Source organism: Homo sapiens, chromosome 12 (assembly GCF_000001405.40).
Source record: "Homo sapiens chromosome 12, GRCh38.p14 Primary Assembly".
NCBI classification, from domain to species: domain Eukaryota; kingdom Metazoa; phylum Chordata; class Mammalia; order Primates; family Hominidae; genus Homo; species Homo sapiens.
In genome coordinates, this window is record NC_000012.12 from 31,415,360 (window position 1) to 31,428,285 (window position 12,926).

General features: G+C 42.0%; 1 protein-coding gene across 23 annotated transcripts in view; it reads right to left on the reverse strand.

The window, feature by feature from the left end:
* Window positions 1–12,926, reverse strand: part of DENND5B (DENN domain containing 5B) — a 208,911-nt gene that overhangs the window by 33,134 nt on the left and 162,851 nt on the right. For all 23 annotated transcript variants that reach the window (XM_047428429.1, XM_047428424.1, XM_047428430.1 and 20 more), the window contains 4 exons: window positions 10,934–11,065; window positions 9,176–9,328; window positions 8,238–8,316; window positions 8–89 (listed from right to left, as the gene is read on the reverse strand). In XM_047428429.1, the coding sequence (XP_047284385.1) occupies window positions 8–89; window positions 8,238–8,316; window positions 9,176–9,328; window positions 10,934–11,065 (446 nt within the window). The remainder of the gene's footprint in view (window positions 1–7; window positions 90–8,237; window positions 8,317–9,175; window positions 9,329–10,933; window positions 11,066–12,926) is intronic.

Here is a 12,926-nt window from a genome sequence, read left to right on the forward strand (position 1 = left end):
CAAATACCTCATGTCCTGAATAAGAGAGACCCTGAGCGTTGGCAACATAACTCCTGAGTCAGATTTTCTTCTTTCTGGTCCGAGGGCAACTATGTAGAAAAATATCAACAAAATATTAGAAAAGTAATAAAAAATATACATGGTTCATATTAAATACTTTGAAACTGCTTCGATAAGAACAAATTTTAACAATATATATCATCTAGCCCAAAATGTCAAAAAACAAATTTTAAAGAAAATAGGGTCTTGCTCTGTCACTGAGCTTGGAGTGCAGTTTGCAGTGGCATGATCGTGGCTCACTGCAGCCTCAACCTCCTGGGCTCAAGCGATCCTCCCAACTTAGCCCTGTCCAGAGTAACTGGGATTACAGGTGTGCACCACCACACATGGCTCATTTTTAAAATTTTTTGTAGAGACGGGGTCTCCCTATGTTGCCCAGGCTGGGCTATATTATTAACACAGTAAATCAGCTATTTTCTTTTCTTTTTTTTTTGAGATGGAGTTTCGCTCTTGTTCTCTAGGCTGGAGTGCAATGGCACGATCTCAGCTCACCGCAACCTCCACCTCCCAGGTCCAAGCCATTCTCCCGCCTCAGTCTCCCGAGTAGCTGGGATTACAGGCATGCACCACCACACCTGGCTAATTTTTTGTATTTTTAGGAGAGACAGGGTTTCTCCATGTTGGTCAGGCTGGTCTTGAACTCCCGATCTGAGGTGATCCGCCTGCCTCGGCCTCCCAAAGTGCTGGAATTACAAGCGTGAGCCACCGTGCCCAGACCCAGCTATTTTCTTTCTATGTAATCTGGAACTGCTTTTGGAAATTTTAAATGAATCACAAAAGACTACCTAGCAAACAATGCAATGTGTACAAATTTTGGCCATAAGGACCAGGCACTTTTTTTTGTATTTTTTTTTTTAAATATAGTCTTGCTCTGTTGCTCTGTTGCCAGGCTGAAGTGCAGTGGCGTGATCTTGGCTCACTGCAACCTCCGCCTCCTGAGTTCAAGCAATTCTCATGCCTCAGCCTCCCGAGTAGCTGGGACTACAGGAGTGCGCCACCACGCCCAGCTAATTTTTGTATTTTTTAGTAGAGACGGGGTTTCACCATGTTGGCCAGCTGGTCTCGAACTCCTTAACTCAAGTGATCTGCCCGCCTTGGCCTCCCAAAGTGCTGGGATTACAGGTGTTAGCCACCATGCCTGGCCAGTTACTTTCTAGTTACTTGTTCTAATAGCTCTAGATAATTACACATGAAAGCAATGTATATAAATTAAGCTACTAAAAAATGTGAAACATCTCTGGGCTCATGAACTGAAGTCACACAATTAAACTCTTGAGTGTTTGAAAAAAAATCTAAGCTGTGTACGGTGGCTCACTCCTGTAATCCCAACACTTTGGGAGGCCAAGGCAGGAGGATTACTTGAGCCCAGGAGTTCAAGACCAGCCTGGGAAACATAGGGAGACCAGCCTGGACTACACAGAAAGACCCCGTTTTTGCAAATAATTATATGGGTTTGGACAATGGGAAGCTAAATATATATATGTCTTTTTTTTTTTAATTAGCTTTTTTTTTTTTTTTTAAATCAGCTGAGCATGGTGGTGTTCACCTGTAGCACCAGTTGCTTGGGAGGCTGAGGTTGGGAGGATCATCTGAGCCCACCACTGCACTCCAGCCTGGGCAACAGAATGAGACTGTCTCTGAAAAAAAAAAAAAAAGGCCAGGCGCTGTGGCTCACACCTGTAATCCCAGCACTTTGGGAGGCCGAGGCGGGCGGATCATGAGGTCAGGAGATCGAGACCACCCTGGCTAACACGGTGAAACCCCATCTCTACTAAAAAATACAAAAAATTAGCTGGGCGTGGTGGTGGGCGCCTGTAGTCCCAGCTACTCGGGAGGCTGAGGCAAGACAATGGCATGAACCCGGGATGCAGAGTTTGCAGTGAGCCAAGATCATGCCACTGCACTCCAGCCTGGGTGACAGAGCAAGACTCTGTCTCAAAAAAAAAAAAAAAAAAAAAAAAATCTAAGATTTCGGACTCTTCAATCTGATAAGTTTCTACCTTAAAGTTCAGAGTCCAAACTACAGTAATTACAGCATGCAAAGTGAGTAATCTAAATAGACACTAAGTATAATGTCCATGAGTATTCTCTTATGAAGCCTGAATAGCTAACATTTATTTAAGAATAGCTAACATTTATGAAAGCTAACAATTATGGGATTACAGGTGCGTGCCACCACACCTGGCTAATTTTTGTATTTTTTGTAGAGACGGGGTTTTGTCTCTTATGTATGAAAGAAGAAAGATTATTCTCATATAGCAACGGCTAAGCAAACATCTATTGGCTAATATATTGTAGTTGCAGTGTTTGGTCTCGTGCTCAATGAGATGCCATGGAGTTTAGGCCTTTCATTTCTATCTTCCCATCTATAAATAAAAATGAAATTCCAACATCATACTCAGCAAATACACCTATATAAGTAGAACTTAGAATGTGAATTTTTGCTGTATATTAAACCTGCCATTTTCTCAGGTTTTAGATTCATTCTACTTTGGGGGGCTGGGATACAATACCAAAACACATAAATATATATGAAGTTGGCACTAAAGGAAGATAGGGAACATTTTGGTGTATTCGGATCCCTATGCTTTTGACACTAGCAGGTATAAATGAGTACTGATGGGGTTGCCAGAAGGAAGAGGTTGTGGCCAGTCCAATCTAAAAGCACTACTTTCAAGGGCCTTCCATACCATGTGGATGATAAATAGGACATTTGTTGTGGCGATTTTGGGAGGGAGTTTCAATGGGGCACTAGACCCATTCATCTTGACACCCAAGAGGTAATAAATGCTGAAGAAATTGTTCCAGACTTGCAGGGAATGTGTTACATGTTATTAAAGAAAGCATATCTTTTTTTCTTTTCTTTTTTTTTTTTTTTTGAGATAGGGTCTCACTCTTGTCGCCCAGGCTGGAGTGCAGTGGCATGATCTCGGCTCACTGCAGCCTCCACCTCCGGGCTAAGCGATCCTCCAACCTCAGCTTCTTGATAGCTGGGATTACAGGTGCATGCCACCACACCTGGCTAATTTTTGTGTGTTTTTTTTTTGTAGAGACGGGGTTTTGTCTCTATGTTTATGTTGCCCAGGCTGGACTCAAACTCTTGGACTCAAGCGATCTGCCTGCCTCGGCCTCCCAAAGTGCTGGGATTATAGGCATGAGCCATCACACCCGGCCACAGCTTTCTTTTTGAGGACAAAGTGAGATGGCTCAGAGAAGGCCTCTACACTCCAGATGATTAGACAGAATGAAAGATGGCCACACAGGCGGTAAGAAATAGGTTGACAGAGGAAAAAAGGGGAGTTGAAACCATAATTAACAAGTTGGCTAGAGGGAGACACGACAACCAGAAGTAATCATGCCTCTTAAACTAGAGAACAAGTGAGAAACTTCATTTTAAATAATAGAGATGGGGGTCTCACTATGTTGCCCAGGCTGGTCTCAAACGCCTGGCTCAAGGAATCCTCCCACCTTGGCCTCCTAAAGTGCTGGAATTACATGTGCGAGCCAGTGTGCCTGGCAATTCCTGTTGTTTAAACCACACAGTTTGTGGTACTCTATTATGGCAGCCCTAGGAAATGAATGCAGTAATTTATTAGTGACTCTGGAGAGAAGAGTTTAAAAGCCTGTGAGCAGAGGGCAAATTAGGGGTTAGGAAATGGAACCACTTCTTTTATCTAGAGACCTAAAATCTAAGAAGGTTTCCATGAATCCTACTCCAGCTAGAAGAGAATTTTATAAACTATGTAAATGTATACTTCCATTACTATTTCTTAATTGAAAATACTCAAACAATAGGCCACTTTCTCCTTCAAAATAAAGATTCATGGATTTAATTCTTGGCTACGAGAATTTGCTCATCTGCCTGAATCAAACTACAAAAATAGCCAGATGTGGTGGCGCATGCCTGTAATTCCAGTTACTTGGGAGGCAGAGGCAGGAGAATCTCTTGAACTCGGGAGGTTGCAGTGGGCCGAAATCATGCCATTGCATCCAGTCTTGGCAACAAGAGCGAGCGAAACTCCATCTCCAAAAAAAAAAAAAGAATGAACACAAGTTAAACATTTTATTTATTTTCTATTTGGAGTGGTGAATTTTATAAATGTAGCACAGACAGCACGTTTGTAGAGGGCAGGGACTGTATGTTTCTACAGTACCATGTACAGTCTATAGGTAGGTAAGTAATTAATAGATAATTTCTGATGAAGATAAGATGAAGAGTGACTCAAAATTCCTGGGTTAGATCCAGAATAACCACTTAAAAGCAGCATTTCTGGCCAGGCACAGTGGCTTACACCTGTAATCCCAGCACTTTGGGAGGCTGAGGCGGGTGGATCACCTGAGGTCAGGAGTTTGAGACCAGCCTGGCCAACATGGTGAACTCTGTTTCTACTAAAAATAGAAAAATTCACCAGGTGTGGTGGCACACGCCTGTAATCCCAGCTATTCAGGAGGCTGAGGCAGGAGAATCGCTTGAACCCAGGAAGTGGAGGTTGCAGTGAGCCAAGACTGCGCCATTGCACTCTAGCCTGGGCAACAAGAGCGAAACTCCATCTCAGAAAAAAAAAAAAAAAAAAAAGGAAAAAAGGCAGCATTTCCACTCCCTTCAGTGGAAGGGCTCTACACCTACCCCCTGCCAAAATCCATTTCCAGTTTAGTAGAACCTTGTCTGAAGGTGCAAAGTTTAAGAACTGGCTCAACGTTTTTATTTATTATTATTATTTTTTGGAGACAGGGTCTTGCTCTGTCACCCAAGCTAGAGTGCAGTGGTGGGATCACAGCACTCACTGTAGCCTCAACCCCCTGGGCTCAAGTGATCCTCCCACCTCAGCCTCCCAAGCATCTGGGACCACAAGCATGTGTCACTATACCTGGCTAATTAAGAAAAATAAATTTTTTTTGTAGAGACTGGGTCTCACTATGTTACCTCAGCTGGTCTCAAACTCCTGGGCTCAAGTGATCCTTCCACCTTGGCCTCCCAAAGTGTTGGGATTACAGAACTGGGTCACCATATCCAGCCTCCCAACAATTTTTTTTTTTTTTTTGAGACAGCATCTTGCTCTGTTGCCCAAGCTGGAGTGCAATGGCGTGATCTTGGCTCACTGCAACCTCTGCCTCCTGGGTTCAAGAGATACTCATGCCTCAGCCTCCTGAATAGTTGGGATTACAGGTGTGCACCACCATACCTGGCTGACTTTTATATTTTTAGTAGAGACGGGGTTTCACCATGTTGGCCAGGCTGGTGTTGAACTTCTGGCCTCAAGTAATTTGTCCTCCTTGAGCTCCCACAGTGCTGGAATTACAGGCATGAGCCACCACACTCAGTCCTCCCAACGAATTTAAAGGTTAAAACTTTTGAGTGATATGTCAAGAACAGTCTTTGTTCTAGGACCAATTGTATTCTGAACTTCTTTCTCTGAAATAGGATTTCAAACTACTAGGTGCAGTGATCACTAGATCAAAATTAATACTGCCTACCCACTATGGTCCCTATCTTTCCATTCCTCTGCAACTCTTAAAATGTCTCTGACTCCTGTTTAGTGCTGCTTCTGAAGACTCATGATAATAATCCAGCATCTAGTCTCATCATGATTCAGTGCTAGTAAGAATAATGTTCAAACCCATCAAAATTTTTTTTTGTTTTTGACATGGAGTCTCACTTCATTGCCCAGGCTGGAGTACAGCGGAGCAGTCTTGGCTCAATGCAACCTCCATCTTCCAGGTTCAAGCGATTCACCTGCTTCACCCTCCTGAGTAGCTGGGATTACAGACACCTGCCACCCATGCCTGGCTAATTTTTGTATTTTTAGTAGAGAGTGGGTTTCATCATGTTGGCCAGGCTGGTCTCCAACTCTTGATCTCAAGTGACCCATCCACCTAGGCCTCCCAAAGTGCTAGGATTACAGGCATGAGCCACCGTGCCCAGCCCATCATAAATCTTTAAGGATCTTTCCTAAATATGACAATGCAGACTGTTTATTGCCATTCATTAGGAAGCTTAATAATTGGCAAAAAAAGTATTTGGTGGAAAACCAGATTTTAAAAACTTAATTTTTGCATAATTACAACTTATTACTTAAGAATGAGAGATTTCAATTTAAACTGATGTTTTAATACATATTTCATATTCCTATAAATATACATCTTTTCTGAGAAGGAGTCTTGCTCTGTTGCCCAGGCTGGCATGCAGTGGCGCAATCTTGGCTCACTGCAACCTCTGCCTCCCAGGTTCAAGCGATTCTCCTGACTCAGTCTCCTGAGTAGCTGGGATTACAGATGCCCACCACCATGCCCGGCTAATTTTTTTTAATTTTTAGTAGAAACAGGGTTTCACCATATTGACCAGGCTGGTCTTGAACTCCTGATCTCAGGTGATCCGCCTGCCTTGCCCTCCCAAAGTGTTGGGATTACAGGCGTTGAGTCAACATGCCTGGCCTCATTACTATTTTTTTAACAGAAAAACTGGCAGAGAAGATGGACACTAGAGAATGCTTTTAAACTTGATCTGAATCTTTATAAATATAGTTACAGCCAAGGACAACAGAACCTTGGCATTCTGATTACAGGAGCTCCAGGGCAATGTAGTCAGCTTATATTCCTAGCTGTCTGATTAAATACATTTAAACACTAGGTTTCTAACAATAAATACTACATTTAGGATAGTGTTGCCCTCTAGGGGCAGTGAGGGAAAAGAAATTAGGATGAATAAAAGGGTCTTTAAGGTCAGGCACGGTGGCTCACTCCTGTAATCCCAGCACTTTGGGAGGCCGAGGCGGGTGGATCACGAGGTTAGGAAATCGAGACCATCCTGGCTAACACAGTGAAACCCCGTCTCTACTAAAAATCCAAAAAAAAAAAAAAAAAATAGCTGGGCGTGCTCACGGGCACCTGTAGTCCCAGCTACTCGGGAGGCTGAGGCAGGAGAATGGCATGAACCCGGGAGGTGGAGCTTGCAGTGAGCCGAGATCGCGCCACTGCATTCCAGCCTGGGCGACACAGCGAGACTGTGTCTCAAAAATAAAAATTAAAAAAAAAAATAGCCGGGCATGGGATATGCACCTGTAATCCCAGCTACTCAGGAGGCTGAGGCAGGAGAATCACTTGAACCTGGGAGGCAGAGGTTGCAGTGAGCCGAGATCGTACCACTGTACTCCAACCTGGGTGACAAGATCGAGACTCCATCTAAAACATTTCTGAATGTCCAAAGTCATCCATACTTTTTGAAAAGGTTCCGAAATGGCTGATTCAGTATAAAGCAATTTTATCTCAATTAGCTTCCCATAGTTACTTCTACTTTTTTGTGAAATAAATGGTTATTTTACATAAAGAAAAGCATGTGTTGTTGTGAAAAATACACAGTAGGTAGAACACTTAGCTTAAAAAATCCTACATAATTAGCTAAAAAATTATGACACTTCTAACATGTTATATTTTCTATAAATTGAAGAGAGATTCAACTCCTGAAATTTTTGAGACATATGTACATATTTTCTCCCTGAAAGATCATTAATGATGGTTATAAAAACTTTTTTTTTTTTTTTTGAGATGGAGTCTTGCTCTGTCACCCAGGCTGTAGTGCAGTGGCGCCTTCTCGGCTCACTGCAACCTTTGCCTCCCGGGTTCAAGCGATTCTCCTGCCTCAGCCTCCCCAGTAGCTGGGACTACAGGCACCTGCCACCACGCCCAGGTAATTTTTGCATTTTTTGTAGAGATGGGGTTTCACCGTGTTGGCCAGGCTGGTCTCAAACTCCTAACCTCAGGTGATCTGCCCACCTTGGCCTCCTAAAGTGGTGGGATTACAGGTGTGAGCCACCGTGCCTAGCATAAAACTTGTAAGAAAAAAAAAAATTCTAATGCTAGTGAGAGTAATGTATCCTTGTATGGCCATTTACAATTCATTGGGGGTTTTCACATGATACCTTATTTGATCAGCATGACCGTTCTAGCCTAGGTAATCTCATTTTTCCTATTTTATAGATGACGAAGCAGGACTTCAGAAAGGGCAAGTAACTTTTCCCAGGTCTCACAGTTAGTAAGTAATATTGCTCCTTCTACTTTATCCCATTATTGGCAAAATGAGTAAATTTTAGCTTGAGAGAGAAAGAGATCAAGACAAGGCCAAATAGTATTGAGTCTTCTCAGAGTCCAGTGCTGCTAGTTCTTTACCAATGATGTCATACCTGGTGATTCTGCAAGGTGCTCTTGTTTCTCTTCTCTGTCCTGAAATTGAATTAAATGTGACCACAAAGCCGACTTCCCCTGAAAGTACAAGATGTGTAAAAATTTCATAAGAAATAATTCATCAAAAAATAATTTCTCATCCAAATCATTCATATTCCAATAGCCATTTAGAAGTCTGGTGACCCAAGCTCACTCATTCCTAGTTGTATGACATTCTGAGCATCTTCTGCATGTATCATAAAGGTCATCCTGTACCTCACTGACAAGACTACCAAGAGCCTGGGAAAAGGAAGCAGCTAAGCAAAGGGCCAGCATGGCAGGCAGAAGATTTCTGATGTCTGCTAGGTTGTTACTTGGTTGTATGTAATTAGGGCTGTCTACATGGGCTACATTAGTAACCATGGAATTAAAATGCTCTAGCAGCACAGAATGTACTTGTGTACATCTACATGTAAAATATGTTTGGATATATGGAGTGGCGATAAGAGAAAAAAATCGAGGTGAGAGGAGAAAGAGAAAAAGGGAAGAAGAAAGAAACATGCACACATCAGAAAAAAATCAGAAAGGGAGACTAGAGAGACAAAAGCAAAGAGACCATTTGAATGATTTCACCCTGAATTATTAGATAACTTAAAATGGTAAGGAACTGTTAATTCTGGACAGTGACAAAGGCAAACATTTAATGGAACTTACTAGGGATACAGCCTCTGCAATGATGTGCTATTTCATCCTTTCCCGCTTAGCAGGAAAGAGCCCAAACCACCTCCTGCTCATGGGTTATATTTTCTTTTTCTGAAATTAAAATGCCTGTGGCATTTTTCTAGTCCCCTTGTGACAAAAGAGCCTATTTTTTTTTAATGACATATTTGTCTCCTTGTTACATTTCTTAACAGGGCTCTTAACTGGCCATGTCACCAGGACCTCCTAAAACTGTTACCTGCTTGACCTGCAAGCCATGGCTCCATATCCTCTCCAGCAGGTCACAAAGGCTGGCGATCAAGGTGTTCTCCTCCAGGCCGGTGATGTTTGCTTCTCCATGGCCAAGTTCCACCGCTTCATGTCCCATCTTCTCCACCAACATGCGCTTTGTCTAAGAATATCACGTGTAGTCATAAGGCACCCCAGCAGTGAAACCAAAAACCAACAAGTCAATTACTAAAGTAGGAGACTTGGTTTCCCTTCATTATACTTCTATTTGCAGATTTGTAATCACCTTGGGAAAAAAATCTCTTAATCTTGATGTTCAACTAACTGGACTAATATAATTTATATGTCACTATTTTGTCAGAAAAATGGAGTGTGACTAAAGAGAATATAAGATAATATTTGTAAGGCATCCCCATGTTGAAAAGATGCTTATATACAACAGTTGTCAAATTATTAACTTCTGTGATATTGGGGAATTACAGCAGACTTAGAAAATGTACTGTCAGGGCTGGGCATGGTGGCTCACACCTGTAATCCCAGCACTTTGGGAGGCCCAGGCAAGTGGATCACCTGGGGTCAGGAGTTCGAGACCAGCCTGGCCAACATGGTGAAACCCTGTCTCCACTAAAAATACAAGTTAGCCGGGCAGTAGTGGCACACGCCTGTAATCCCAGTTATTTGGGAGGCTGAGGCAGAAGAATTGCTTGAACCCAGGAGGTAGAGGTTGCAGTGAGCTGAGATCACATGCCACTGCACTCCAGCCCGCTGCGTGATAGAGCGAGACTCTGTCTCAAAAAACAAGAAACAATAAAAAAAGAAAATGTACTGTCAGAATATGGAACCCCATCCTGCCACCACAACTTGCCCTATCACTGCCCCAGCATCTTAGCATACTAAAGATTCTTGCACTTAGTTTGATTGCACTTAGGTAAAAACCAGAATACAAATGGGCAGCTCTAAATTTTTTGAGAACTCTAATTTGTGAATGAACCAGGACTTTACTTCTCCTTTTTTATCTTTTCTTTGTTCATCAAGCATGCACCAAAAAATGGAAAGAAAATGGAAATCAGTTTCATGTAAGTTAATTTGCATCAGTCTTAGTAGCTTTTATAAAATGTAAAATGAGAGAGAATCTAGCTCTTTTAGGCAAGAACTTTAATTCACCACTATATACTGATGCTGAAAATAGTAGTACATTTATTGAATATGCAGAGAAGGTACTCAAGAAATGACTGTCAAATAAATAAATAAAATCATTAGCTAAAATGATGTTTTAAGTTTTGTCAATTTGTACTGCTACCTCCAATAAACACAGGTTTCTGAGAGGAGAACGTTGTGCAATATACACAAACCTACAACACAGCTAAGGTATTTTTCCTTATGGGGACAAAAACCATGTACAGGCACAAATAAGGTTGTACACAGGTGCATACACAGACACAAAAGTGTTGCCTTTCACATAAGATGACAACATTCCTGACGCAAATTATGAGTGGCTTAAGACATCCGTTCATGTTGGTGAGGAGGAGAGCAATGTCTGAAAAGGTGAGAAAAATGGTAGAAGGCTCTCATGTCATTGATTCTGTGGGGAATGAAGAACCCATGGAGGTTCAATACCCGAGTAAAGAGCACATGAGGTCAATGCCACAGTAAAAGTTTTCTTCTAGCAAAATTACATGCTTAAATGGGGGTTAACTCAGTTCATCTTAGCCTCACACATGGTGTAAACATGAATGCACACTGTCTGGCATCAGTGAATAATACATACCTTCATTCTACATTCTTTTAATAAGCCTTCTACGAATTTACAGTTGGTCTGTGCAATAACTGCAGGAGAGAGGTCTGACAGTTTGGGTTGCCTCAGGTTTTTTCCTAAACTTCGTGCCTCTTGCATATATTTCTAAAAAATCAAGGAGTATTTTTAATGCGTAAACATTAGCTATTCTTCTAATCTTCTTAACCTTATACAAACAAGTGCAGAGACAAATGAAATGCAAAAAAGTCCGTAAGTGTATGTGCATATAACAACAATTAATGTTTTAGTGTACTAAAAGACAGAGGACACTCATATGCCACCCCATAACAACTGTTAACTCCTGTGAGAAGTAAAGTGACAGAAACCCCATCACGTTAAAACTCATTCAAAGTGAGATGACATTTCATTTCATTTAGTCTTTTTATTGGGAATACAAAAGGTTGTGAAGTCAGGACTGTGGTTGGGACAAAAAAATTTAGGTGTTTAGATCACAAATCCAAGGTTCTGCAGGAGCCCAGCTGTTCTCAGATCACTGATTTCCTCCACTCCTTTCCCCATACAGTAAGACTTAACATACCTCTAGCCTCCTGGGCAGTGCTCTCCAATCTAACCCTTTGCTCTATAATCAAGTCACAACAGTAAAATCAGGAGCTTTCGAATCTGGTTGTAACTAATTTTATGACTCAGGTGTTATCAACTAATGTTTGTGCATCTCAGCTTGTTAAATGGGCATAAAACATGCCCCCCTACCTCCCCAAAAGGCTATAGGATCACTCTGAAAAGCACGATGTGCTCCAAGTGAAGGTGGCCTCTTTCTGTGATGTTTTTGCTAAAGCCCTACCTTGCCTTGTTCTATAATCAAGAGAAAGTGAATTACAGTGTTACTTTTGGGGTTTGTGGTAACTCTAAGGTATCACAGAAACTTAACCAAATGCTCTTGAGCTTTGGTTAGTGAATTTCTATTAAAAAAATCACTACATGTGTTTAGTGCAAGACATGTGCTCTCTCTCTTCTTTCTATGCTGTCTATAAAAGTTCATCCAGAGGCCAGGCGGTGGCTCACGTCTGTAATCCCAGCACTTTGGGAAGCCGAGGTGGGTGGATCACCAGAGGTCAGGAGCACGTGACCAGCCTGGCCAACATGGTTAAAACCCCATCTCTACTAAAAATACAAAAATTAGCCACGCGTGGTGGTGGACGTCTGTAATCCCAGCTACTCGGGAGGCTGAGGCAGAAGAATCGCTTGAACCTGGGAGGCGGAGATTGCAGTGAGTGGAGATGGCGTCACTGCACTCCAGCCTGGGCAACTGAGCAAGACTCCATCTCAAAAAAAAAAAAAAATCATCTGGATACCTTATGTTTACATCAGGATCACAGGGCAGAATTTTCCAAAAAGTCCAAGTGACTTAGGACCATATTTAGAGAATAACTGCTCTACATTATATAGTAAAAGTAGCAGTTTATTGGCTGGTAGTGGGGGGCAGCATGGAGACTGAGACGGCAAGCCAGCACATCCTCCCACGGGCACATATGTGAAATCTATCCTTACTATCTTCAGAGGAGAGCTTGATATTATAAAAGAAGATGTGTAAAATCCTTTGCATTCTTTAAAAAAGAGAGTTTGTACATTTAATATATTTCTCCTTTGGAAGAAAATAATCTGCTAAGTCTGGTACAAATAAAAAAAATCCCACTGATTAGGGATTCCACTAATCTGTTTACCTGCTACCTCCCAACCTTTGTGACGAAAGGCAAAATTAACAAAATAATGTTTTTTTCCAGTCCAATCATTTTAACAGTTGTCTCTAATTCTCAATTTTCTCTTATTTCTTTGACCCTCTTAAAAATGTTTGAAGCAGAGGCCAGGCATTCGAGACCAGCCTGGCCAACATGGTGAAACGCCATCTCTACTAAAAATACAAAAATGTGGCGGGTGCCTGTAATCCCAGCTACTCGGGAGGCTGAGGCAGGAGAATTGCTTGAACCTGGGAGGCGGACGTTGCAAT